Here is a 24,745-nt window from a genome sequence, read left to right as displayed (position 1 = left end):
TGTCAGCCTCCTCTTCTCCTGGCAGGTGGTACCCAGGCAGAATTCTGCCTTCAGTCTCTCTCTCGCTCCGCTCCCGGCCGTGAGGCGCTCGCCGCTGCTCGCTCGCTCCTCCGCCCCAGCTCTGAGCCTCGCCGTGCCGACCGTGCCCGCCGCCGCCGCCGCTGGGCGCACCCGGGGGACGCCCGGGCCCACGCGGGGCTTTGGGGTGCGCGTCTATTCGAGTTGTGGTGGTGGCAAAGGAGGAAGAGAGAAAGGAGGCAATAAAAAAAAAAGGCAGCGGACGGGCGAACTGAGCGAGCGAAAGAAGAGGAGGAGGAGGCAGAAAAAGGCAACTTCAGACGGAAAGTTGGTGCGAACAGGCGCAGTCTGCAAAAACGGAAAAGTCGATCGCAGGCGGCGGCGGCATAAAAGTGTGAGCTGCCCGGGCGAGCTCAGGAGGCGGCGGCTGGCTCTGCCCTCCCGGTGGCCGCGCCGGCGCCGGCTGCAGCCACAGGTGCGAAGGAGCTCGCGGGGGGCGAGGGCGCCCCGCGCACCCCTCCCCCGGCCCCCACCCCGGGCTCGGGACTTCGGCTCAAGTCACTGGGCGCCCGCGCTCCCTCCCCAGCCGCAGCCTCCGCGGGGGGAGCAGGAGTCGGCAGCAGCGGCCGGCGCACGCACGCCCAGGGGAGTTGGGGTTCGCAGGGGGTTGTTTTCGGCTCTGAAGAGGTCCCCGCCCAACCTTCAAAATTCTGTCCAAAAGCAGACAAGAGGATCGCCCCGCGCTGAGCCGGCTGGTGGGCAGCAGGAGGCGCCTGATCGCCGCCGGGGCGCTGGGGGTGGTGATGGTGCTGCTGCTGGTGATCCTCATCCCGGTGCTGGTGAGCTCGGCCGGCACGTCGGCGCACTACGAGATGCTGGGCACCTGCCGCATGGTCTGCGACCCCTACGGGGGCACCAAGGCGCCCAGCACCGCTGCCACGCCCGACCGCGGCCTCATGCAGTCCCTGCCCACCTTCATCCAGGGCCCCAAAGGCGAGGCCGGCAGGCCCGGGAAGGCGGGTCCGCGCGGGCCCCCCGGAGAGCCCGGGCCACCCGGCCCCATGGGGCCCCCGGGCGAGAAGGGCGAGCCGGGCCGCCAAGGCCTGCCGGGCCCGCCCGGGGCGCCCGGCCTGAACGCGGCCGGGGCCATCAGCGCCGCCACCTACAGCACGGTGCCCAAGATCGCCTTCTACGCCGGCCTCAAGCGGCAGCATGAAGGCTACGAGGTGCTCAAGTTCGACGACGTGGTCACCAACCTCGGAAACCACTACGACCCCACCACCGGCAAGTTCACCTGCTCCATCCCGGGCATCTACTTCTTCACCTACCACGTCCTGATGCGCGGAGGGGACGGCACCAGCATGTGGGCTGATCTCTGCAAAAACAACCAGGTGAGCGCGGGCGGGCGGCGGGGAGGGCGGGGAGGGAGCGCGGGAAGGTGCGGGCGAGAGGGAGGAGACCCCGGAAATGGGGGTGGGAGCCCGCGGAGGAAGGGCGCGGCGGCCGGGCTCCCTGGAGCGACGGCAAGGGGGGACGCCGTCCCACCCTGGAGAGGCGGGGGTCGTGCGCGCAGGAGGGCGCCCCGCGGCCTGGAGAGGGCAGTTCCGGAGTCTGGGACCCTCGATCGGTGCGCGCCCCTGCGAGCGCGACCCTCGAGGGGCGGGAAGCCGGGAGCTGGGTCCCGGGGACAGCTCGTGCGCTGGGGAGTCCCGGCGCGGGAAGCGACCCCTGGCCGTGGGATCCTCCGCAACAGAGGGTAGCTTACGGGCTTTCTGGGGAGTGGAGAGGCCTGGGGGAGTCCGGAATGGGCGTGGCAGGGTGACCGACTCGGGGGTGGTAGACAAAGGCCGGAGGGAGAAACAAGGGCCCCGAAGGAATGAGTCCAAGCAGGGCTCAGCCACAGCGGAGGAGCGACCGTGGGGCTCGCCGTCGCCGAGTCCTTGCGGTGTCCCAGGCCGTGAAACTCACATATAGTCAATTTCAAGGCGCAAACTCCAGTTTCGTCTTCAGCCAAAAAATAGCGGAGGGGAGAGGCAAGGAGTGCTGATAACAAAAAGAATAGTTGAGATTCGGGGGTTCATGCGGTGAAACACAGCGCGCAGCCAGACTCAGAACCCAAACTCTCTATGGAGTCGGAGGACGCTCAGGCAGGTGGCCTGGGGGGCGACCGGTTCGAGCCCAGCCCCGGGTCTATCGGCCTCTGGACCAGCCGGCCAAGAGGATTTGATTCCCTGAGCCGGTCGGCGCCGCTACAAGGGCTACGCATGGGTCTGCAGTATTCTGCTGGGGCCACTTTACTGTGGAGAAATTCGAGGTCATTGCAAAACCGAAGCTTGTTTGATCTCTTAGTCAAAGGAGGAAAATAATATTTGTAACTACCTAAAAGTGTAATGGGACCTTCTGTGCACGCTGAATCAGTAGCCACTGAGGCGAGGCCTTGCAGCCTGCAGCCTGCGGTGTGGGCTGAGTTTCTCGGTTTTAACTTTGCTTATTGAGTGGCATAGGGGATGGCCCGCGACCCTGGCATCGCCATCAAGAGACCTCCTCTCCTGCAGCAACTTTGACTTAACGAGGTCTATTGGGCTTTAGGTAACTCGACCCCTGGACATTCAGAGATTCTTAGCTATAACCCAGGTTTCTGTTAAGCACCATTCAAGCAGGATTCGGAAGACCTACTTCAGTGTCAGAATTCTTTCAAAAGTGAAAGACCAAAAAAAAAAAAAAAAAAGTCCTAAATGCGTAAGAGAGAAAAAAGACAAAAAACGTCCTATTCTCTACCCTATCCTACAAATAGCTTAAGGGACCCTCAGGACACATATAACAAAAAGAGGAAAAATGGCCACCAGGAGGCACTGACAGGGTTGTTTATTATAGTTATTATGCATGAAAATAATATTAAGATAAATAAAAATTATTCACAGAACAGTAAAACAGTTATAGGCAAATGGCTAAAACGGGCAGGACTCACTGTACCAGAATGGAGCTATTGAATCACCCTCACAAAAAGGCTTATGAACAGTCCCTCAGCAGGCAGCCATGAGACACCCCTTTATTTGCAAATTGGCTCTCTTCTGACTCAAAGGTCAGGTCTGGAAAATACAATCGGGCTGAAGAGATGATTTTTAGAGGTATCAATTAAAATGAAATGATTCCAATTTTATCAGCAAATGTGTAAAAATGCTCACATCTTTAAATATCTGGAAATTGCAATTGCATGAAAAAAGAAGGGATTAATACATTTAAATTAGTTTAAATGTTGATGTCTAGACTGCTGAGCCTGTGTATATTACACTGATTTGAAGAAAATAACACCATGTAGGTGTTCTATGTGCGTTTTGTTTTTAAAATTATTTCACTGTTTGGGGTGTAAAATCTTCCTTTGTATCACACTAGCACACACATTCCATGAGGATCAGGAAAAATAGTAAGGTAAAACAGCTGACCTTATAATGTATAAGTCTTTTCATTGGTAATATTAAGCTGCTACTTCTGCAAAAGGTATGCAACAGGTAATTCAGAAAAATAAATCTATAGTGGTAAACATTTTTTTTTAGTTCAGTGTGGACTATTTTGGAAAATGGTTACTACACTACTACAGTTAAGGAATTTTATCTCTAGATTAGAACTATTTTGTCAAGTCCAGTCTGCAGGCAGTTACAAATGAGAAATCTTTTAAAATCTTTTTATTAATTTTAAATAATACTTCACTCTTGCTTTTCAATTATATTCTGGTCTGATCACTTCTTAGAATGGCAGGTTCCCTCTCTGAGCTGACTTAATTTTTCATAAAACAGAAACTCAGAGATCCATGTCAGTGTAATGTTCTATGGATTAAGTGGATTTTGAGAAGCACAAAAATTAAACTAAAAATGCAGTTCCCTCTAAGAGAGAGAAATGCTTCTGGACTGTAACCATATGAGAGCCATTTTATTTATACTTTGTGTAGAATGTAAGATCACAGATGGAAACATCAAAGACCAGTAAATTAACCTGATGTGCCACTTAACCTTTTGTTTATGATTCCACAGAAGTACAATGAAAATGAAATTACGAGAACATCAGTAGCAATTAATTAAATTACAAATGTCACCATAAATATGATCTCTAATGATAGATCCTCACTAATAAGATAATGCTAAAACTATGAAACCTATTGCAGACACAGAAACATATCCCTAAAATGACCGCAGCTCTCATACTCCCCATGAAGCCATCAACCTAAATTTAATCCTACCATTTGTTGAAAGCCCATGACAGTGCATATTAAAGGTAAAAGTTCAACTCAAATAGCTTTACATTTGGAAAGAGGAAATCTCTTTAATGTTGATAATCCTTTTAGCAGAAAACATGAAGAAAAATTGCTATTTGAATACAATCACTCTAATGCCACTATAATAAATAAGCCACTCGAATGAAAACTAATACTGTTTCAGGATTAAAAGCATAAAATAATTAAAGACCAGTTGGTACTCTTAAAAATTTATTAGTTATGGCACCGATGCCCATGAAATATTTTTAAAAGGATGAGTGGTTTGTGGGTTGGTATTCGCTTATTAGAGAGATCAATGACATGTCAAATTCATAATCTTTTTAGGGTTAAAGAAATACGGACTAAACATAAAGCAGAATCTAAATAGTTATCTTGTAATAAGAAAAGATATTAGAGTAAATTCAGGTAGAAATCGGTTGATTGCGCTGAAGGAAGGATGGATCTTATTCCCAGACAGAATGCTGAAATCACTGTACATTTAGGAATCTGGAAACAGCCTCCAGGGTGAACACATTGCCTTCCTCAATAGTTTGATGGCTTGAAAGAATTGTTGAAGTCACTGAGCTGAATACTAGAGCTTGAAATTTCAAGTCCTGTTATATCTTTAGAGTAGGATCAGGTGAGCAGCCATACCAAAATCATGCCAGGTACACTGGAGTATGGCAATTATTTAATTGGGACAGTCTTACGGTACAGTATAGGTTAAAATCTTACAGAATTACATTCATTAAAAAGCAACCACACTGGCTTGATCCAACAAAGGTGGTAGAAACTGTGAGGGTAACCTTTCAGTCTGTGGAATCACTCTAATGCATTCGCAGGAATTTGTGGTTACGCCTACTGAATAAAAATGGTGACGTTCACTCGGTTTTGTGGTTACACCCTGGAGAATAAAAATGGCATTATATTTTTAAAAGGATTATTGTGTCTAAATCAAGTAATTTTAGTATGTCCTGTTTCTCCAATACCTTCATGTAGAAAACCATGTTAAAGCCCAGTAACCATAGAACATGTCCTAAATACCCAAAGCACTGAATAAAATATGTCTGGTTATTAGTAATAGCTGAGGAGTATATTATGGGTTGATAACTAATGTATTACTAATATAGCTCATGAATATTTTGTTTTTAATTTTTTTCACCATTAAAAATCCAAAGATGAGAAAAAAACACAAGTCATAATAGCAATATCCTTCTTGTAGATTTGTTTCCCTGGGAATTAATGGCTAGATGAAATTAATGAATCAAAGCATTCAACTCCTACAAACTCATGATTAATCTTTAGAAAATATTATGAAGTCAAACTGCGTCATTATTTAATGGTCAAAACGGACCACTTTACTAAATTGGCATATATATTGGAGTCAGTGCTTCCAAGCATAATTACATGGTATATTGCTTTCATTATATTAGTGCCTGTTAGTACAGCGTTAAGCAATTCTAAATCCTTTAAGCCATTTTCTCCTTTTGCTATGTGATACCCAGAAAGACACTTTAAAGATACTACTCAAATGACTTTACAAGTTCAGCAGTGTTAAAGAGTCTTCTTTTTTTAACATTTCAGCATTAACGTGAGACTATATCACAAGAAAATTTAATTGGAAAACTCATCATTTAAATTTTGAAAGAAATGCATGGAAATTCTTGACTTCTGTCTCATTTCTCTCATTTTGCCAAGTGATAAAATCCAGCATATTGTACCCCAAATCATGCATTATTACATAGTGCAGGTTTACAAAACCACTAAATCACTTGCTATGTTATTCAGGGAAATATCATTATAGTGGAATAGAAATGAAACAAGCCACAAAGTAGAAGATGTTTTACTGAAATAAATCAAATCTAAGTCTGCCTGTTGAAAGATTTTCCAAGGCAGAATCACAATATATCTAAATGAATATGAAGCCTAATTTGAGCTAAGGATCTGACAGAATGTCCACAATGCATGAGATGATAGGCAATTTGACTGTTTGTAAATGTCTATCAACTCACTAATGAGATCACAGGCTTACCATGGGCAGATTATAAGCAGCCTCTGCCCTCAAATCAAGCCACATATTTAGAATCTCCTAAGTGTAAGTGGATATTCAACGAAATCATTCAAAAATTCTTGAAACTTGAGAGGCCTCAGAGCATGAAAATTTAGTCCTTTCTTTAACTTTTAGATATGTTGAGGTTAAATTCTTGATTTAAATGCACATGTCATAGTTAAGTAATAAAAAGACACGATGGAAAAAAGAACTCTGAAAACTCAGGTGATATAATCAAAGATGTATAAATGAGCTAAGCTTCTGAAGCAGCCTGGTAAAGGGGGCTTTACATGAATTAGATTTGGAAAGCCCTAAATCAAAAGACTTTTTCTTTTTTTTTTTTTTCTTTGTAAGTAGTAGAGGAGTTGGTATTTTCCTGGGTATTTTTAGCTATTACATACCTCAATTTTCTAATAATTGTGGTGAACAGCTGAACTTAGACTTGAACTTCTGTACTCATAAACAGCTGATTAGAATATTGCTATCTGGCTTAAATTAAAATGCAAAAAATACTATTAGTTTCATTTCAAAATGTGATTGGGCATAGGGATCGAAGGAGTTAGAAAAACGAGTGATACAGGAAGATAATAAATTGTATGCATAGTTTAGAATGTGTAGTTAGATAAGACTGCCAGAATGGTCCCCACTGAAGCACTATTTTGTCCCTTTCTGTCCTCCTTCTCACTAACGTAGCGGAAACTGCCACAGCACTATCCTCATAAAGCTCTGAGGTCAACATGGACTTTGCTATGCTAAATTCTGTACTATGGCAGCAAGTCAGCTTGTGATGCTACATGAATGGCAAAAAAGAAAACTTGAGAATTCTCATTTACGCATCCTAATTCTTGTCTGTTTCACATAGGTGCGTGCTAGTGCAATTGCCCAAGATGCTGATCAGAATTACGACTATGCCAGTAACAGTGTGGTTCTTCATTTGGAGCCGGGAGATGAAGTCTATATCAAATTAGATGGCGGGAAAGCCCATGGAGGAAACAACAACAAATACAGCACGTTTTCTGGATTTATTATTTATGCTGACTGATAATGCAGAAACTAAGCTTATTATTCTGAGTTTGAACACTGGATTCGTATGGCTAACGTCAGTGAATCAAGGATCCCAGGGGATGCCAATGGCAGGGCACCTCAGTTGTGTATATGTGGGGAAATCAAATGCTACCTGACTCACATCTGTATCACTCAGAAACATTATGTAAAAAATATCAAAGCAAGATAAGCAGATGTGTGATCCACTACCGCCAAAGCAAATACTCCTTATCGTTAGTGTCCATGTGAATGAAGTCCTATATAGATCACAAATTTTTATAGACAAATCTAAGACATTGAATTATTTCTTCTATATATATGATACTTTGGTGTACTGTGATCTTGCTGCTTTTATCCATATGTCAGCTTTGGTTCTTGTGAGTTTACCTGCTTATTATGATACTTGGAGTCCATTCATAGTGTGGGGAAGAATGATTTTTGCCCTGCAGGAGAAGGTCTAATTGAAATAATGCTGCTTGTCCCCAAAGAAATTGTTTGCCTTGTACTCTTGTTAACCTTAGAGCTAGACCTGGGAATGATTCAACTTCAAGCCTTAACCTGGAATTTTCTGGATTTGAGGGAATTCCCAAGCCTATGATCTTTTTCACATTTTCTTTTTCTTATATGAATTTTCTTTTCTCTCTTTTCTGGTGATAGTCTTTAAAAATAGAGATTGACAGTGTATCATAGGATTACCCTCTAAGTGTGAAAATGTGTAATTATGTACGGTATTTAGAAAAAGCCCTTATGTGTCCATTTTGTCAACTGAATACATTTAGATTCACTGGGAAAGTCAGAGAAATTTATTCTTTAGTATCAAATCAAACCGAGGCTTTTGCCATCTTTGGAAGAAAAGATTATTCATAACCCAATGCACAAAGGTTTAATTTGAGCTGCTGCATACGTCACCAAGGGGACACTAGGTGAGGCCTTCAAATGATTACTACAAGTCTGTGGCCTGAGGTTATTTTAAAATTAACAATTTCGCATATAGCCTATATGACAACAGAGTGTTTATATTTTATACAAATATCTGCTAAACATGCACACATATACTCACACACACATATATATATTAGATGAAATGTTTTATTTATGTATAAAACATATACATATAAAACATTTATATATATGGCTTTATTCCACAGGGCACAGTGGCTGTATAGCCTCAAAATTTTAATATAAAAAAGTGTATGCATATATACACACACAAACATGCACAAATTATTTAACTTATTTTGGGTTAAAATATATTTTGAATGACAATATATGGAGTAGCAAAAACAGTTAAAATGACTTCTCTTTAAGAGTTATCCAGAAAATTAATTGTATTAGGTCAAAATGCCCTTTATTTCACAGGTCTGTAAGTTAAGGCTATGGTTGCTCTATTACCATATGCCAATCAATACTTTAACTGCATTCTGTGACAGACTGTTAATATGAGGACTGCAGACACCAAGTGGCTCTCCTTTGCAGTGTTTATGAATTACATGCATTTGAGCTATCAATTTTTTTTTCTTTTTTCTCAGGTGGAGTGAAGCTGACAGTACAGTAGATTTGGAGAGTAATACAAATCCTTTCTTTCTGGTTAGAACACACTGCCAAAAGCCATCTCTTTCATCTAAGGAAAAGATTAAAAATGCATGTTGATATCTCCTAACTATCACACAACTTCCACTATTACAATGAAAAATCTGTTCCCCTTTCATTGCCTCTGAAAACTCTTTGACGAGTAGATTTCAAAAACAGAGATTTTAAAAATTTGCTTGCTTTACTGGTGAAGGACATTTGCATTTTTTTTTTTTATTTATTTAAAGGAATTAGTTTGTTCTCCTGGCTCATTCCTCTTTGTTACTTTCTGTTCCAATACACAGAAAGCTTGATCATCTTTGATCAGCAGAAATATCTTTTATTTAGCAAAGCTCAACTTCCCAAGAGTTATGCATGGTGTGCCTATCTGAAGGTGGTGTTAGCTCTGTTGAAATGCCTGGGTCTGAGTAACTGTCATGATTTTTATGATTAAAAACAGACTCTTCATCAAGAATAATGACTAATTCTAATTGGTCTTTGTGATATGTAAGATAACTCATAAATGAATTGCAATGGATTTTATTTCGAATTAACTATATATTTATCAAAGAGGAACTGGCAGCAAGGGTTTGGAGAATATTTTTAGGTACCAAATAGCATAGTGAGGATTCAACCAAAAGATGAATTTATAAGCAGCAGTGCCCATCACCTAAGTGTTTTAACTAACAGGTTTTAAAAACATTTTATTTACACAAAATATCAGGGCTGGATACCTTTTAAAGAGGAGGCTCAAGTATCGGGCTGTCATTTCCAATAGATCTGACCTTTTCTTCAGATACATAAGCATTATTTTCTCTGTTTAGGTCCAAGGAAAAACAAAAGGTAAAGGAAATAAAGGGAATATACATAAGGCAAACATTTCTCTTTTTTTTTTTGCATTATATCTTACCAATTAATTAAATTGTGGCCTTTGTTATTATAAATGTAATGATTCATTAAACTATATTATGTAATATATTTTGACTTTTATGATTGAATTTTTATAATTCAGTAGTGTTATGTGTTCTTATACAAACTTTGCAAAACAGCAAAATGTATGGCAAAAATAGATACCGGAAAGCCAAAGATATCAAAATCATTTCAGTAGAAGAATATATAGATAGGTGGACAGTATAAAATTAACCTTTCAAAATATTTTTATCATTGTGAATTGGTAATTGTATTACAGTCAGTATCCTTTGGGGAAAAAAGTCTCAAAATTTAACTTCCCTTGTTGCAGAAGCTATTTTACAGTGCCATATTATTCATTAAGCATTAATTAAAGAACAGCAGGATAATTAGTAGGATCATCAATATTACAAGAAACATTAGATCGCTCAAGAAGGAAATAATTTAACTAGAAACACTTTAAATTTTCTCAAGTAGTGCAGCTGATAGATTAGGGAGAAAAACAACAACTCCGCTTAGGGGATATAGACTTTAAATCATTGTTTAGAAATAGGTACTTCTGTATTTATTTTGTTAAGTTAAAATAATAGGGCTCAATTAGGCTGAGTAACTCCCTAGAGGCACAGTTGTAATAGCTGGTCTCAGAGAAGGCAAACCCTCCTAGTTCTCATCAGAAGGAAATGATCTGTCATTAGTCCTAGGTAACTGATTAATATCTCACAGTGGACTGGAAATCGCTGAATGTTCTCTGCAAGTTTTATACTCAAGGTGTGAATTCATAAGCAACCATCCTATTTGAAAGTTAGCCATTGCTTAGGGTTCTCTATTAGAATCTTATCAAGCACATTCTCAGTTATGCCTCTCAGCAACATTTTAGGAACAACATTGGTGAGTATATGAGAATAGCCGTGACCTCCATATTTCATCAGCCGGGTTTTCGTATGTATGTCATGTGCTACCAGAATTCGATCTTCACAGCCCTCTTCCACCAGGAGACGCACCCTGTGAAAAATGTTAACTCATTAGATGTCATTTGTCTTTCATTTTCGCTTTTCAGGATGCTTTCAACTTTTTACTCATTAACCTATTGTGCTTGTCGTAAAGATACTGACTTCTACTGTGGCGTGTGTACTGAGAGACCTTTAATAAATATTGTGTGGTGACGATAAAAATATTGCTGCATCCTAGCAGGAACATATCCTTATTCCATGCATACAGAAATTTCTAACCTGTGACATTTATGACCATGCCTGGCAATACCGCATTAAAGATAGCTTCTAATAGGATGTGCCAGTTTGGATGAATGACCATTTTGGCATTTCACTAAATAACTTTGTTCTGGATTTGTATTCAGCAATCCTCTCTCAAATGCCTCTCCCTGTGGGCCCATTTTTCAGATCTCATTCTTGCTCTCTCCTTTTATCTGGCCAAAAAATATCAAGGACTGTTTGCGATTAAAATAGGGAAACAAAAGGAATCTCACTACAAGTAAAATATTCTGAGAGCAAAATCAGTTGGTCTGCAAGTGAGGGGCATTTGATAAGCTACAAAGCCACTGAAAAAAGGTTGGTCAGCATTTTAACCATTTGCCCCTTTGAAGTCTATGGCAATTTTGATTTAGTTGTAGCCTCTGAGCATTGGATTAAACTGACCAATACAAATATATTCTGTCTTCTTTCCATGTCAGCAAGATTGCTAAAATAATAAGCTGTTCCTTTAAATTTATAGTCAGTGGACTAAAGAACAGCTTCCTGACTATTCTCTAAAAATGAAATCCTCTTTGCTTTGTTAAATGCTGGAATCTGTAGTGTGAGTCACCTCCTGACAGCCACCATCTGTACGTGTCTGGACTCTGGGCAGTGTCTGTCGTGACTTCCATGGGTCTTTGATGGTAGAAGATGCCACTCACAGACAATGGCTCTTCTATGGGATTCTCTGAATAGTTTTTTTGGCGTCTAGATTCTAAAGTGGATCTAGACGGACGGACAGTGCCTTCCTCCAGAGGCTGATTATTTGAAAGGTATCTTTTTTGTTTCAAAAGCATTTCTTGGTGTCCTAGTACATGAGTCATATTTAATAACTACTACAGTGAGCAAAACGTGGGGTACTACACACACAAAAAAAACTCAAGCACAAAGCCCTGCCCTCTGAGAACACATATTTTAAAATAAATTATAATGGAAGAATAGACTTTGTATCTGCAGGTCAAAGGAATGCAAGCACTAGCAGAGAAGAACCATGCCTGTCCTATAAGTGCATGTAATGACTTTTGTGCCACTATGATTTTTTGCCTCATTGAAATTTGTATACTATCCTGAAGTTCTGATCTGCAGTTACTTTTGGAACACACTCAGTTTAGGGGAATTATCTAAGATAAGTTATATTATCACATAAAAAGACAAAGATTTGACAGAATGCACACACAATACTGAAGCTTAGGGTGACAAACCTTGATCCACAACTGCAAAGAAGTATCACGGTATAGGAGGTTTTAGGAAACACTTTCTCCCTGATATTTTCTGGGCATTTTCCAAAATTTTTGCCTATGTTTCTTATCTGATAAATATAATTTCTCACACTATAAAGGCAGATCATGTGGATAAACAAATTCCTTTAAGATGTCCTTTGTCAGACCTTGAAACACAATGTTATCAAATCATGAAGTAGAATGAAAGAGTATAGAGGACAAGATACTCATACTTAAAACCGGGAATCCTTAGAACCCATTAAGTCAAGAATCTGGAGACTACTTATGAGAAAGATAACGTTATGGCTCTGGACACACAATCATATCCTGACTATGAAGAAAACCTGCCCCGTCCTGCTTACACTAAAAGATCATCTCTCCTGTTGTGCCATTATATGGAAGAACAGGAGTTACAGAGATGCTGCCAGAAAAGGGGGAGCCACTACAGACGAGAAGACAAAAAATCACGGTAATTATAGAAATACAAATGAGTTAGTGTTTGCAAACAAATATTAGAGAGAGACTACAAAGTGTGAAAAGGCAGAGATATAATAAGATTTGAGAAATGGAGCAGAAGATTGAAAACAGGTGTTAGACACAGAATTTCTGGTGCTGAACACCAGAGGTAGGCAGAAGCGTGCTTCTGTGTTCATGCACTTCAAGGTTTAAGACTACGATGGCTCAGAAAAGGACCCTGTGGTCCTTTCATGCATGATGAAAATCAAGTGTGCAAGACAGTGGGTACTGGAGCACACGCAACCCAAAAGGGCATTCAGTGCTTAACATGGGCTGTCCTTGGGTCAAGCGAGAATGCATGGTTTAATTTAAGGAAGATTAAGCACACACACATACACGTACGTATGGAATAGCACACAGGTATTTTATATATATATACACAGATTTATATTATAATAATTTTTATTATTTCCATACATCCAGAATAGCTATATTTAGCACAGTAAAGGGTAAACAAATGGCTAAAAGGAGCTAAGAAGGAATGCTGGGGGAGCCATCGGTCATCTGACCCTTCTATCTCCTTCACAGATGCCCCTTTACGGATCTTCTTTCTCTTGTTCTAGAAGGTCTGGGAGCCTCATGCGAGACACAGGTGTGCAAAAGATGCACCTCACTACCACAAAGGGGCTTCGGAAAAGGAAGCCGATCCAGAGTGCAAAGTTCCCATTTCCAAGATGATTTAGAAAACATGTGTTGAGGCCGGGCGCGGTGGCTCACACATGTAATCCCAGCACTTTAGGAGGCCGAGGCGGGCGGATCACGAGGTCAGGAGATCAAGACCATCCTGGCTAACACGGTGAAACCCCGTCTCTACTAAAAATACAAAAAATTAGCCGGGCGTGGTGGCGGGTGCCTGTAGTCCCAGCTACTCGGGAGGCTGAGGTAGGAGAATGGCGTGAACCTGGGAGGCAGAGCTTGCAGTGAGGTGAGATTGCGCCACTGCGCTCCTGCCTGGGCGACAGAGCAAGTCTCCATCTCAAAAAAAAAAAAAAAAGAAAAAGAAAAAAAGAAAAAAGAAATAAAACATATGTTGAGGGCATTGATCAGGAAATCATGTTTTTGAGATTGTGAAAGATGAGAATGACTGAATGCACTGCACTATTTTAAATTCCAGATGCCCTTAGGCAAGGAATAGTCTCCTCTGAGTATAAACTAACTACTAGGGCTTTAGGGGAACAGGTTCACCTGTATTGAATCGGGTTCCTGGGCAAGTAAATTAAAATAATAAAACAAAAATAAACAAAGAAACAATACATCTACTTGTCAAATAACTGATCTGAGTATTAAAAGACAGAACTTCATTGGTCAAGACAGGTGAAGTCATTTGCTCATGTAGAGTTGAGAGTTGCCATCTTACTTAACTAATGCAACACTGATTAACTAGCTTTCCCTAATGATACTAAACTTGAAGCATAGTACTATTAATGAGGTGATCAAGGCAGAATGCCAGTACTTGGAGACAGCAGAAGGCATACAGACGTAAATGTGACTTCCCAGGGAAAGATCCTCAGGATGTCCCAACTATGACCACTGGCTCAAGATCTTCCCCTCAACCCAGTGTGCCTTATTCAACTAGCAATACTTGAATCTCATGGTTCCTGGACATCACTTCTCAATTCCAGCTTTGCTACTTCCACGGCAACCACTTTTCTGTTCTCATAATTATATTCTAGTTCTTGTTATCATAGGGAACTACTGCTCCCCCTCTGAAATCTCCATCTTCAGTTTCCCACTCCGATCATGTTACATTTTTCTACTTTTTCCACTCACTTCTTCTACTGTGTATATATATACACACACACATATATATATACACATACACATACAGTATATATATTTGAACATATATATATATATATATATGCTCCACCCACTTCATTAAAGCCTGCAGTCCACTTATTTGCCCTGCTATGCTTTTCCTGTCTATCTGACCATTCCTCTCTATGCTTTCTTCCCTCCAACTTGGATCCCATGACCCTCATCTCAACTCCTCCATTGTTATCCATCTCTTTCAGATAGAATCCCAACCCTCAATCTCTTGAACTGTTCCCATTTTCTGCTTGTACGCACACAACTTCTCTGGTTCCACTACCAAAACGCAAAACAGTTTTGCTTTGGAAAATAATCACCAAATCGTGTGCATTGGTGCCAATACACAGGCATGCAATCATGATTTCTAGACTCAACTAGGTCTCGCACATAACACATCCATGTCAAGATCTCTCTCATTGACCTGACAGCCATTCCTAGCCTTTCTCCTGCTCTACACAGTGCTGCCCTAAATCCACTCTTTTTTTCTCAGGAGATAACCATGTCCACCTCACAGAGACACTAGAGGACATGTGGCCATGTGTCCTCAGTCTCCTGTTTCCCTCACTAAGACTTCTGTTTGCATTCACCCCATCGCTGTGTCATGCCCTCTCATTTCCATGGAGAAAGCATCCTTTCAACCGACTTTCTATTTGTTCCCCAGATTCCATCTATTTGTTGCCTTAGGAACCTTGCTCTATATTTCTTATCTATCCAGAGTTTTTAAAGTCAACATCTATTGAACACTTCCATATTCTGCACCAGACACTCAGACAAAAACTTGGAAAACATTATTTCATGTCAATTCTATAGTAACCCTGTGGAATGGGCACCACTTCCCTGGACTCATTCTCTCTGGCTCTGTCTCTGCTTTTGCTCTTAAGTCACATAAACATTGCTCAACTCTTACTAGAAGCTTCCCTTGATCCTTTATTGACTTGTAACTCCAGACCCATCTCCTTGCTTCCCTCCACTGCCACGCTTCTTGAAAGAGTCACCTCAACATCCTCTCTCCTCTTCCTCACGGCCCACCCATTTCTCAAGCCTTTTCCACTGAGATTGCACTCTGTTTATAAAATGTGAGCCTCCTAATTGTGAAATCCAATGGATGCTTTTCAGTCTTTATTTCCCTTGATATTTGTCACTTATTACCGGCATTCAAGCCCTTCTGCCCTGAGACTTCCTCTCTACTGACTTCCATAAGAATATATATCTCTCATGTTATCACTTTGAAAACTTCTCCTCGACCTTTCCTTGAGAAACGGTTCCTACTCCATTCCTTAAATGTCTCTGTCCCCAGGTCTCTGTCCTCATCTTCTTCTCTGAGTGATGTCATTCATTCCCACGGTTCAACTATCACATACAAACCATATCTTAGGGCTTCACTGGGTAGCAACACTTAGATATTCCCAAACGAAAGCCTTCCTTGTCAATCTCCAATTTATTTCTCCTCCTAGGTATTCTAACTTGGTTCATTCAATCTTCTTATCACCATGTGACCAAGACCAAACTAGGTAGCTATCATTGACGCCTAAAATTTTCTACTTGATTACAAAGAATGACTCCTACAATTATCTGCCAGCATCACACATTATACAGTTTTGGAAGGTTGCATTCATTTTACATAATATTTAGTCTTTAGACCTTATACTTTTAGCATTTAACTTGAAATCACCTTTTTAATGAAAACTTTTGATAAAGCATTTCAAATATTACTTGTAGGAAGTTATGGCTTTAGTGTGGTCAACCTGAGAGAGGAACAGCTTATTTCATTAGGGGTAAATAGAGGAAAATGTCTTTTGTTCTCTGATTTTCATGGCAGGGGTTGGGTATTATCTGTGTTTCCTGTCAGCTGCCCATCTGCACTGAACTTCTAAGGCTCTGCTAAGCTTTAGCCTACTTAGGATGACTCATTTTCTCCTTAAAATAATATAGAGAGATTTTTCTCCCTGAAACAGCATAGATATATTTTTCTCTGCAAGTCTGTGGTTCGGCCTGCTTACTGTTTTCTGAATCTTTGCTAATACTTCCCTAGATATGACAATCAAAAAGGGCTAGGGAAAGGGAATGCTATGAGAGGCTTTACCATATTTACCTTCTAATTCTTTTGTTATCATCAGGCATGTCAATATCTGGGCCGAGTTGGTAATGAAGTAGTTCAGTACCAAAGAGATCATATTCCAAGTAGCAGCCAAGTTGAGCAAACTCCAAGAGCTCTTTCTTATCAAGAATAGTCCTAGAAACAATGCGACAGATGAACTGTTATTATGAAGAGCCCATTTTCCACATGTACATACTAGAAGTTTTAAGCACACAATGTACAAGAACAAGAACATAGTTGAAGTCGAGTAACAGACACTTCTGAAATGGCTCTTAATGATGTGAGTATAAAACAGTAAGTTCAATTTGTTACTAGAAATAACAGAACTTACTCATCTAAAAAGGAGTTTTCCCCTCTAAAGTACTTGGGTACTACAGACTTAGTTTAATGATGCTTCCATTATTCCAGAGCAAGTTTGGAATTCTCCCTCAGAACTGTGTTCAGAAGATGCCCCCACACTATTTTGAGAATCCTTAATGGGGTAAATTTTCATCCTCTAAAGACTGCTATGAACTGTGAAAACTATTAAAGGAAATCTGGCCTCAGGTCTGGTGAATTAGGTGAGTAATGCTAATCTGGGTAACACATGAGGCTTTGCCTTGTGGTAGCAGGGTGATTTTCTTGTGAAGATTGTAAAGTGGTTCTAAAATTAATTCTAAAGCCTTTAAAGAATATCATTCCCACATTTTCTTGAAGGCACAATACTCATACAGATATTTATGCTCTGGAGTGCTTATTTTTTAAATAAAATTTATTATTTTATGATAAATTTTATGGATATCTTCTCATTTCAATAGATGTCATATAAAGAATGTAACTATTTTAGGATGTAAGATTATGTAAATGAAAGGGAAAGGAGAGAAATGTAAGACAAGTACAGGCTACAGACAAGCGTAGAGTACAGAGCAAGAGTAGATTATATCAAGAAATTTGCATTATAACAAGTAAAAAGAGATGCACTAAGGTAACCCCAAAATACCACTGTAGAGATCCAATCACACAGAGAGCTAAGAAGGAATAAAAACATCCTAGCAGAAAACAATATGGGAAAAAAAAAGTGAAGGAAAAATATACCCCATTAGACATTTCATGAAGGGAAGGAAGACATTGCATGAAGGGAATGAAGGAAAAATATACCCCATTAGACATTGCATGAAAGGAATGAAGGACCTAGAGAAATGTAAGGGATCGTTTCGGATCGGAAATTGGCGTGGAGATGAGTTGGGAACATTAGACAGTCATTGTCTTATTGGCTTTTTATCCATGCTGATATTTCTATTACTTTGGCAACTCCACGATGTGAGGATTAAAGCACTACTTTGTGGCAGGGTGCGGTGGCTCAATCCCAGCAGTTTGTGAGGCCGAGGTGGGTGAATCACTTGAGGTCAGGTGTTCCAGACCAGTCTAGCCAACATAGTGAAACCACGTCTCTACTAAAAATACAAAAATGGCTGGGTGTGGTGGCTCACACCTGTAATCCCAGCACTTTGGGAGGCTGAGGTGGGTGGATCACCTGAGGTCAGGAGTTCAAGACCAGCTTGGCCAACATGGCGAAACCCCATCTCTACTAAAAATACGAAAAATTAGCTGGGCATAGTGGTGGGTGCCTGTAATCCCAGCTACTTGGGAGGCTGAGGCAAGAGAATTGCTTGAACCTGGGAGACGGAGGTTGCAGTGAGCTGAGATCACACTATTGCACTCCAGCCTGGGCAACAGAGTGAGACTCTGTCTCAAAAGACAAAAACAAAAACAAAACAAAAATTAGCTGGGGGTGGTGGCAGGCACCTGTAATCCCAGCTACTCGGGAGGCTGAGGCATGAGAATCACTTGAAACCAGGAAGTGGAGGTTGCAGTGAGCTGAGATCGTGCCATTGCATTCCAGCCTGGGTGACAGAGCAAGACTCCATCTCAAAAAACAAAAAGCACTAATATGTGGCTGGGTGTGGTGGCTCACGTCTGTAATCCTAGCACTTTGAGAGGACAAGGTGGGTGGATCATTTGAGGCTAGGAGTTTGAGACCAGCCTGGCCAACATGGTGAAAACCCATCTCTACTAAAAATACAAAAAAAAAAAAAAAAAAAAAAAAAAAGCACTATCATGTGTCCATGAATCTACTTCTAAGAGGTCAGAAGTATTTTCAGAGATTTTTTTTTTTTTTTTTTTTTTGAGACAGAGTCTCCCTCTGTCGCCCAGGCTGGAGTGCAGTGGCGTGATCTCGGCTCAATGCAACCTCCACCTCTCGGGTTCAAGTGATTCTCTTGCTTCAGCCTCCCGAGTAGCTGGGACTACAGGTGTGTGCCACTGCTCCCGGCTAATTGTTGTATTTTTAGTAAAGACGGGGTTTTGCCATGTTGGCCAGGCTGGTCTTGAACTCCTGACCTCAGGTGATCCACCTGTTTCAGCCTCCCAAAGTCCTGGGATTACAGGTGTGAGCCACCGCACCTGATCAAAGCTTTTCTTATAAACCACAGGAGAACCAATTAAGCCTCCCTGTGCCACGGGTGCGGGAAGTTTCTCCTTTCCTGTGAGATTCCTGGGAGTTGACTACTGACTTTCATTCTGAGCTATCATACCCTGGCTGGCTCCTTTTCATTTATTCACCAAATTAGCATAACTTAGAGTTCACGATGTTGTTTTAGGCAGGGAGGCTAAAAAATCTTTCCTTTCTACTATAAAATGTACATTAGTTCTGTGCTATCTTCTATTAATACTACTCATTTTCCATCTTCTTACCATGGAGACCATCTTTTGCTTCCAAAATTACTAGGCTGAAAGAATATGTGTTTTTCTATAGAAAACATATTCTGTTTTCCCCAAAGAACCATACTTGAAAAAAACAAAATATACACAATTAAAGTAATGTAAGCGGGAAGAGGTAAGTTTAGTATTTTTCCTTTTGAGTAAATTCAGTGTGTTAATTATCCAATATGGGCAGGGTACTGGGGGAGGGCAGGAGTCAGCACGGAAATGGAGTCACCAGTTACAGGTTGGATCATACTCTTATTTCTGCTCCTAATGTCTTTTTCTGTCCTTTGGCCCAATGCCTTGAGAATAACTTTCCTAAATTTTCAGTGCTATATCGAGGCATATACTTAGTGAAAAGTCCGTGGTAAATGTAAAGCCTTAGAAAACTCTTTAGCCTTAGCTCCAATTGAAAATAAAAAGTAAAGTCACTTAGCATCATTATCATCATGCTGACAATTATGAGAACTTACTATGTGTCTGACATTGTGCAAAGTGCATTATATGTATTATCTCATTTAATACCCTCCATGATCCCAGCAGCTCTCAATTCTGAAGACTGAGAAACTGGGACTTGATTAGATAGTCACTCAAGGTGATGTGCTAGAATTTAAATTCATCTCAAAGTTAGAACTTACGCTGTAAACCACCATACTGTATGGCTTCTCCTATTGCTAAATATTGTTTTTTACTCAAAGGACATTTTCCAGAATTACAATGACTGAATGTGCACAGAGTGTGCTTTAATTTTTAATTTGAAATTTCCTCCCCGTGGTACCCTCACACTGCACTTGAAAAATGGAGAATTTACCATCAAAGGGTAGTATGGGGGGAAGAAAGTGAAAATCCCAGAAAGGTAAGAAAGGATTCACTTGTGGAGATTTTTAACTGCTAAGTCAGAGGGTAACTATATATAGTAAGCAGGATTAAATCTTTACAGTTATTTTAGACAATTTGAATGACATGATCAAAGAGAAAGGAACTATGGTAATCATGACAACTGCTTACTTTCTTACTATGGGGTGTGTGTGTGTGTGTGTGCATGTGTGTGTGTGTGTGTGTGTGTGTGTGTGTGTGTGTGTGTAGTTATTCATTTTTTTAACTGACATATAGTGATATGACCCCCTCTGGATAACTAAACACTAGTGTGAAGTCAACTAAGAAATGAATATTACAAATATTGGCTGAGCATGGGGGCTCACACCTGTAATCCCAGCACTTTGGGAGGCTGAGGCAGGTGGATCATTTGAGGTCAGGAGTTCAAGACCAGCCTGGCCAACATGGTGAAACCCTGGCTTTACTAAAAATACAAAAATTAACTGGGTGTGGTGGCACGTGCTGCAGTCCCAGCTACTCAGGAGGATGAGGCAGAAGAATCGCTTGACCCTGGAAGGCAGAGGTTGCAGTGAGCCGAGATCGTGCCACTGTACTCCAGCTTGGGTGACAGAGTGAGACTGTGTCTCAAAAAACAAAAATAAAAAAATAAAATAAAAGAGGAATGGGGAGATGGCAGGCATGGTGGCTCACGCCTGTGGTCCCAGCTACTTGAAAGGCTGAGTGAGGAGGATTGCTTGAGCCCAAGAGTTCAAGGCTGCAGTGACCTATGGTCACACCACTAGACTCCAGCTTGGGTGACAGAGTGAGCCCCTGACTCTAAAAAAAGAAATATAAACAAATAAAAAATAAAAGATGAATAGGGACTGTAGGGACCCAATTCTCCAGATGCAATGAAATATAAATGTTACCTACGTTATAAACGTTCACTGAAGAATCTCACAATAAGCAGAGATGTCTTTCTAGAGGAAGACTAACACTGTCCCATAAGATTCATCCACACATGTAAGTTTCAAAAGTAACCCCTGGCCGGGCACATTGGCTCACTCCTGTAATCCCAGCACTTTGGGAAGCCAAGGTGGAAGGATCCCTTGAGCTCAGGAGTTTGAGACTAGCCTTGGAAACAAAGCAAGACCCTGTGTCTACAATGAAACTTTAAAAATTAGCAGGGTGTGGTGGTGTGTGCCTGTGGTCCCAGTTGCTCAGGAGGCTGAGGTGGGAAGATCATTTGAGCCCAAGAGTTTGAGGCTGCAGCGAGCTATGGTCGCACTGCTGCACTCCAGCCTGGGTCGCACTGCTGCACTCCAGCCTGGGTGACAGAGTGAGACCTTGTCTCAAAAAAAAAAAAAAGTAATCCCTATGAATTCTTATCCGCTCAAAAACTTATATAAAGCGGAGTGACTTTGGGGAAGCTGGTTCCTCTGTTAAAATGCTCTTAAAAATTTCATGATCACACGTGAGGGGAGATTGCTTCAGAAGGGAAGCAATTAGGCTGATATTTTAGACATTAGGAAAATGCAGTTAAAAAAAAAGGGGCAAGGCCAGATGCAGTGAGTGGCTCATGCCTGTAATCCCAGCACTTTGGGAGGCCAAGCCTCTGGGAGGGTTGCTTGAGCCCAGGAGTTTGAGACGAAACACAGAGAGACCCTGCCTCTATAACATAAACAAACAAATAGAAAGAAAAAGAGGGGAAGAGAAATTTGCTGTCATAAAAAAAACCAAGACATACATACATATATATGCAGTTTTTTTTCTGATTTTTTAACTGACATTTATTGATATGACCTCCTTGGGGTAACTAAACATTAACGTGAAGGCAATTAAGAAATGAATTCAGCTGCAGACAGTGGCTCATGCTTGTAATCCCAGCACTTTGCGAGGCTGAGGTGGAAGGGTCACTTGAGCTCATGAATTCCAGACCAGCTTGGGCAACATGGCAAAACCCCATTTCTAACAAAAATACAAAAAATCAGCCAGGTGAGGGTGGTGCACACCCGGGGTCCCAGCTACTCGGGAGACTGAGGTGGGAGGATTGTTGGAGCCCGGGAAGTTGAGGCTGCAGTGAGTCACGATCAAGCCACTGCACTCCAGCCTAGGTGACAGAGCAAGCGAGACCCTGTCTCCAAAATATAAATAAATAAATAAATAAAATAATTAAATTAAAAATAAAAAAGGGAATGAATTCCTTTAAATTCTTCTTATTGACAAAGCAAACTGAGTGCAAAATTCAGGGGAAGAAAATAGTGTGAGTGATCACACAGGTTTTCAAAGGAAAGTCCTGAAAATAAGTAGTATGTGGTATGAGATATTAATAAGGGGTGGGACGGGAAACAAGAAAATCAACACCTGATAGTCATCAGGTATTTAATACAGCCCCAGCTCATTTAATCCTTACAGAAGCTCTATCAGGAAGGTGTGACTGTCCCCATCTTACAGATGAGGACTTTAAGTCTCAGAAAAGATAAACTCAGGTCTCAACCTGAAGAGCTTCAAACAAACCCAAACTGCTTTTGTGTTGAGGCCGTGTTCTTAAACCAGGCTGCCCCTCCAGGGGTAAGAACACCCAGGCACCAGGGCAACTCCGTTCCTCCTCCAAGGCACTCACACTACGGAGACACACTCACCATCGTAGTGACATCTAGGAACAAGCACCTTGCGCCGTGAACGTCTAACAAGGTGACTTACCCATGTGAAATTGACATTCAGCTGGATGGCTTCCAGGGACTGCCAAAGCGCTACTGAAGTTGCATTTATGCAAGTGACTTTCTTTTTCACTTGGAGAGGGTTGACCCCTAATGTCAGTATATTACCATGGGAAAATGAACTCTGTGTGCCATCCAGCAGATGAGGATTAAACAGAGGTCCTGTCCCTCCCAGTCACCAATGATCTCATAGCACATCTTAGAAGAGTGGAGGTGCTAACCTCAGCCAGTTTTCCTCATTCTGCATTCTATATCCATGAATACTTCTTGAGAGTTGTTTTTTATTTTAGTTTTTTGAGACAGTCTCGCTCCGTCACACAGGCTGGAGTGCAGTGGCGCGATCTTGGCTCACTGCAGCTTTCATCTCCTGGGTTCAAGCGATTCTCCTGCCTCAGCCTCCCGAGTAGCTGGGATTACAAGTGCCCACCACCACACCCAGCTAATTTTGTATTTTTAGTAGAGATAGGGTTTCGCCATGTTGGCCAGGCTGGTCTCAAACTCCTGACCTCAGCTGATGCGCCAGCTGATCTGCCTGCCTTGGCCTCCCAAAGTGCTGGGATTACAGTGTGAGACACTGCGCCTGGCCATCCATGAATAATTCTATTCTTTCTTACTCCAATCTTTCCCAGCTTTTAAGGTCGGTATTTTTCACTTCTTCCCCTGAAAAGTCAGTGAAGTGATTGTGACGCACAGAAGAGCTACCGCATTTCACACTGAAGAAAAGTCCCATCTTCAAGGTGGATGAAATGATTGCAATGTCATTTACAAAACATCCTGGGATTTCCCAGAAGGAAGACCAGATTTTGGTATCAAGTACTTGTTCATGTCATTCATATGATATCATTTCCTCTGCTGCATATTTTATACTTTTGCTCAACTAGTAAGTAACTTTTCTGTATATAAGAAACAGGCATAAATTTAGGGAAAATAAATTGTCATCAGCTAAAAAAAAAAATGGTGTCCAAAGTGATTCGGCTCTTTATTGTCAGAATACAGTTATCATATACCCAGTTTCTTAAGGCTGGTACTATAATGCAAGACAGGTGATTCTATTTTCAACCCCCTTTTATATTCTAGATCTTATCCATATGCTGAGGGGTTTAGTTTAATGTCAAAATGCACTCTGTGTGGGAGAAAGGAAGTCTGCATGAAGTGATAATTTAGACAAGGGTCTGTGGGCTCCCTAGCTAGAAAGAACTAAGGAGCAGAGGAAAGAATTTGATCCGTGGGTAGGATCAAGATAACAAAAGCACCTACCATTTGTCTTGGGCTTTACAGTTTCAAATAACTCTCAGGTATATTATTTCATTTCACACATTGAAACACACCTTCATAAATTAATTCAGTGAACATCTACTATCAGCTATCTTGTGCTATTCTCTGTGTTAGGAATATAGACACGAATAAGAAATTTAAGATGCTGTCTCAAGGAAATTAAAGTCTGCAGAAGGAAGATGTTTAAGCTAATAATTATAGTTAAATGTGCTAAAAAACATTGAAGTACAAATAAATACACAGTATTGCGAACGAAGAATGAAGCACTTAATTTTTTTCACTTGATTCACTTTGATTCATTTGAGTTGAGTCTTAAAGGACACCATTTAGACAAATGTTGGTAGGGATCAAGATGAATGATCCAGAGAGGCTGGGCATATGGCTCATGCCTGTAATCCCAGCACTTTGGGAGGCCAAGTCGAGTGGATTACCTGAGGTTAGGAGTTTGAGACCAGCCTGG

The 24,745-nt window shown here is 41.3% G+C and overlaps 2 protein-coding genes across 12 annotated transcripts in view, besides 5 other annotated features; one reads left to right on the top strand and one right to left on the bottom strand.

The window, feature by feature from the left end:
- On the top strand, positions 8-8,153 carry C1QL3 (complement C1q like 3). The gene is made up of 2 exons (NM_001010908.2): positions 8-1,409; positions 7,180-8,153. Exons 1-2 carry the CDS (start codon positions 822-824, stop codon positions 7,357-7,359), a joined length of 768 nt encoding a protein of 255 aa, NP_001010908.1. The 5' UTR covers positions 8-821; the 3' UTR covers positions 7,360-8,153.
- Positions 68-297: a silencer, noted in NCBI's record as "silent region_2178". NCBI's record gives its function as "represses an Ori minimal core promoter by ATAC-STARR-seq in GM12878 lymphoblastoid cells {active_cell/tissue: GM12878}" and the evidence as "EXISTENCE:reporter gene assay evidence [ECO:0000049][PMID:35858748]".
- Positions 568-787: a silencer, noted in NCBI's record as "silent region_2177". NCBI's record gives its function as "represses an Ori minimal core promoter by ATAC-STARR-seq in GM12878 lymphoblastoid cells {active_cell/tissue: GM12878}" and the evidence as "EXISTENCE:reporter gene assay evidence [ECO:0000049][PMID:35858748]".
- Positions 1,098-1,157: a silencer, noted in NCBI's record as "silent region_2176". NCBI's record gives its function as "represses an Ori minimal core promoter by ATAC-STARR-seq in GM12878 lymphoblastoid cells {active_cell/tissue: GM12878}" and the evidence as "EXISTENCE:reporter gene assay evidence [ECO:0000049][PMID:35858748]".
- Positions 1,457-1,957: an enhancer, noted in NCBI's record as "H3K4me1 hESC enhancer chr10:16561929-16562429 (GRCh37/hg19 assembly coordinates)". NCBI's record gives its function as "activates a minimal SCP1, AML or CMV promoter by ChIP-STARR-seq in naive H9 embryonic stem cells {active_cell/tissue: H9 hESC(naive)}" and the evidence as "EXISTENCE:reporter gene assay evidence [ECO:0000049][PMID:30033119]".
- Positions 1,958-2,458: an enhancer, noted in NCBI's record as "H3K4me1 hESC enhancer chr10:16561428-16561928 (GRCh37/hg19 assembly coordinates)". NCBI's record gives its function as "activates a minimal SCP1, AML or CMV promoter by ChIP-STARR-seq in naive H9 embryonic stem cells {active_cell/tissue: H9 hESC(naive)}" and the evidence as "EXISTENCE:reporter gene assay evidence [ECO:0000049][PMID:30033119]".
- PTER (phosphotriesterase related) overlaps positions 2,867-24,745 on the bottom strand; it is an 82,011-nt gene continuing 60,132 nt past the window's right edge. For 6 of the 11 annotated variants that reach the window (XM_047426006.1, NM_001001484.3, NM_030664.5 and 3 more), the window contains 2 exons: positions 16,727-16,867; positions 8,142-10,841 (listed from right to left, as the gene is read on the bottom strand). In XM_047426006.1, coding sequence (XP_047281962.1) covers positions 10,631-10,841; positions 16,727-16,867 — 352 coding nt within the window. In that variant the 3' untranslated portion in view covers positions 8,142-10,630. Of the gene's footprint in view, positions 5,172-8,141; positions 10,842-16,726; positions 16,868-24,745 lie in introns of those variants that run through there. The other 5 variants (XM_047426007.1, NM_001261837.2, XM_017016929.3 and 2 more) reach the window with 2 other exon arrangements.

This window comes from Homo sapiens, chromosome 10 (genome assembly GCF_000001405.40).
Source record: "Homo sapiens chromosome 10, GRCh38.p14 Primary Assembly".
Lineage (NCBI taxonomy): Eukaryota > Metazoa > Chordata > Mammalia > Primates > Hominidae > Homo > Homo sapiens.
The sequence above is the reverse complement of the archived record's forward strand: the minus strand, read 5'-3'. Positions and strand labels throughout refer to the sequence as shown.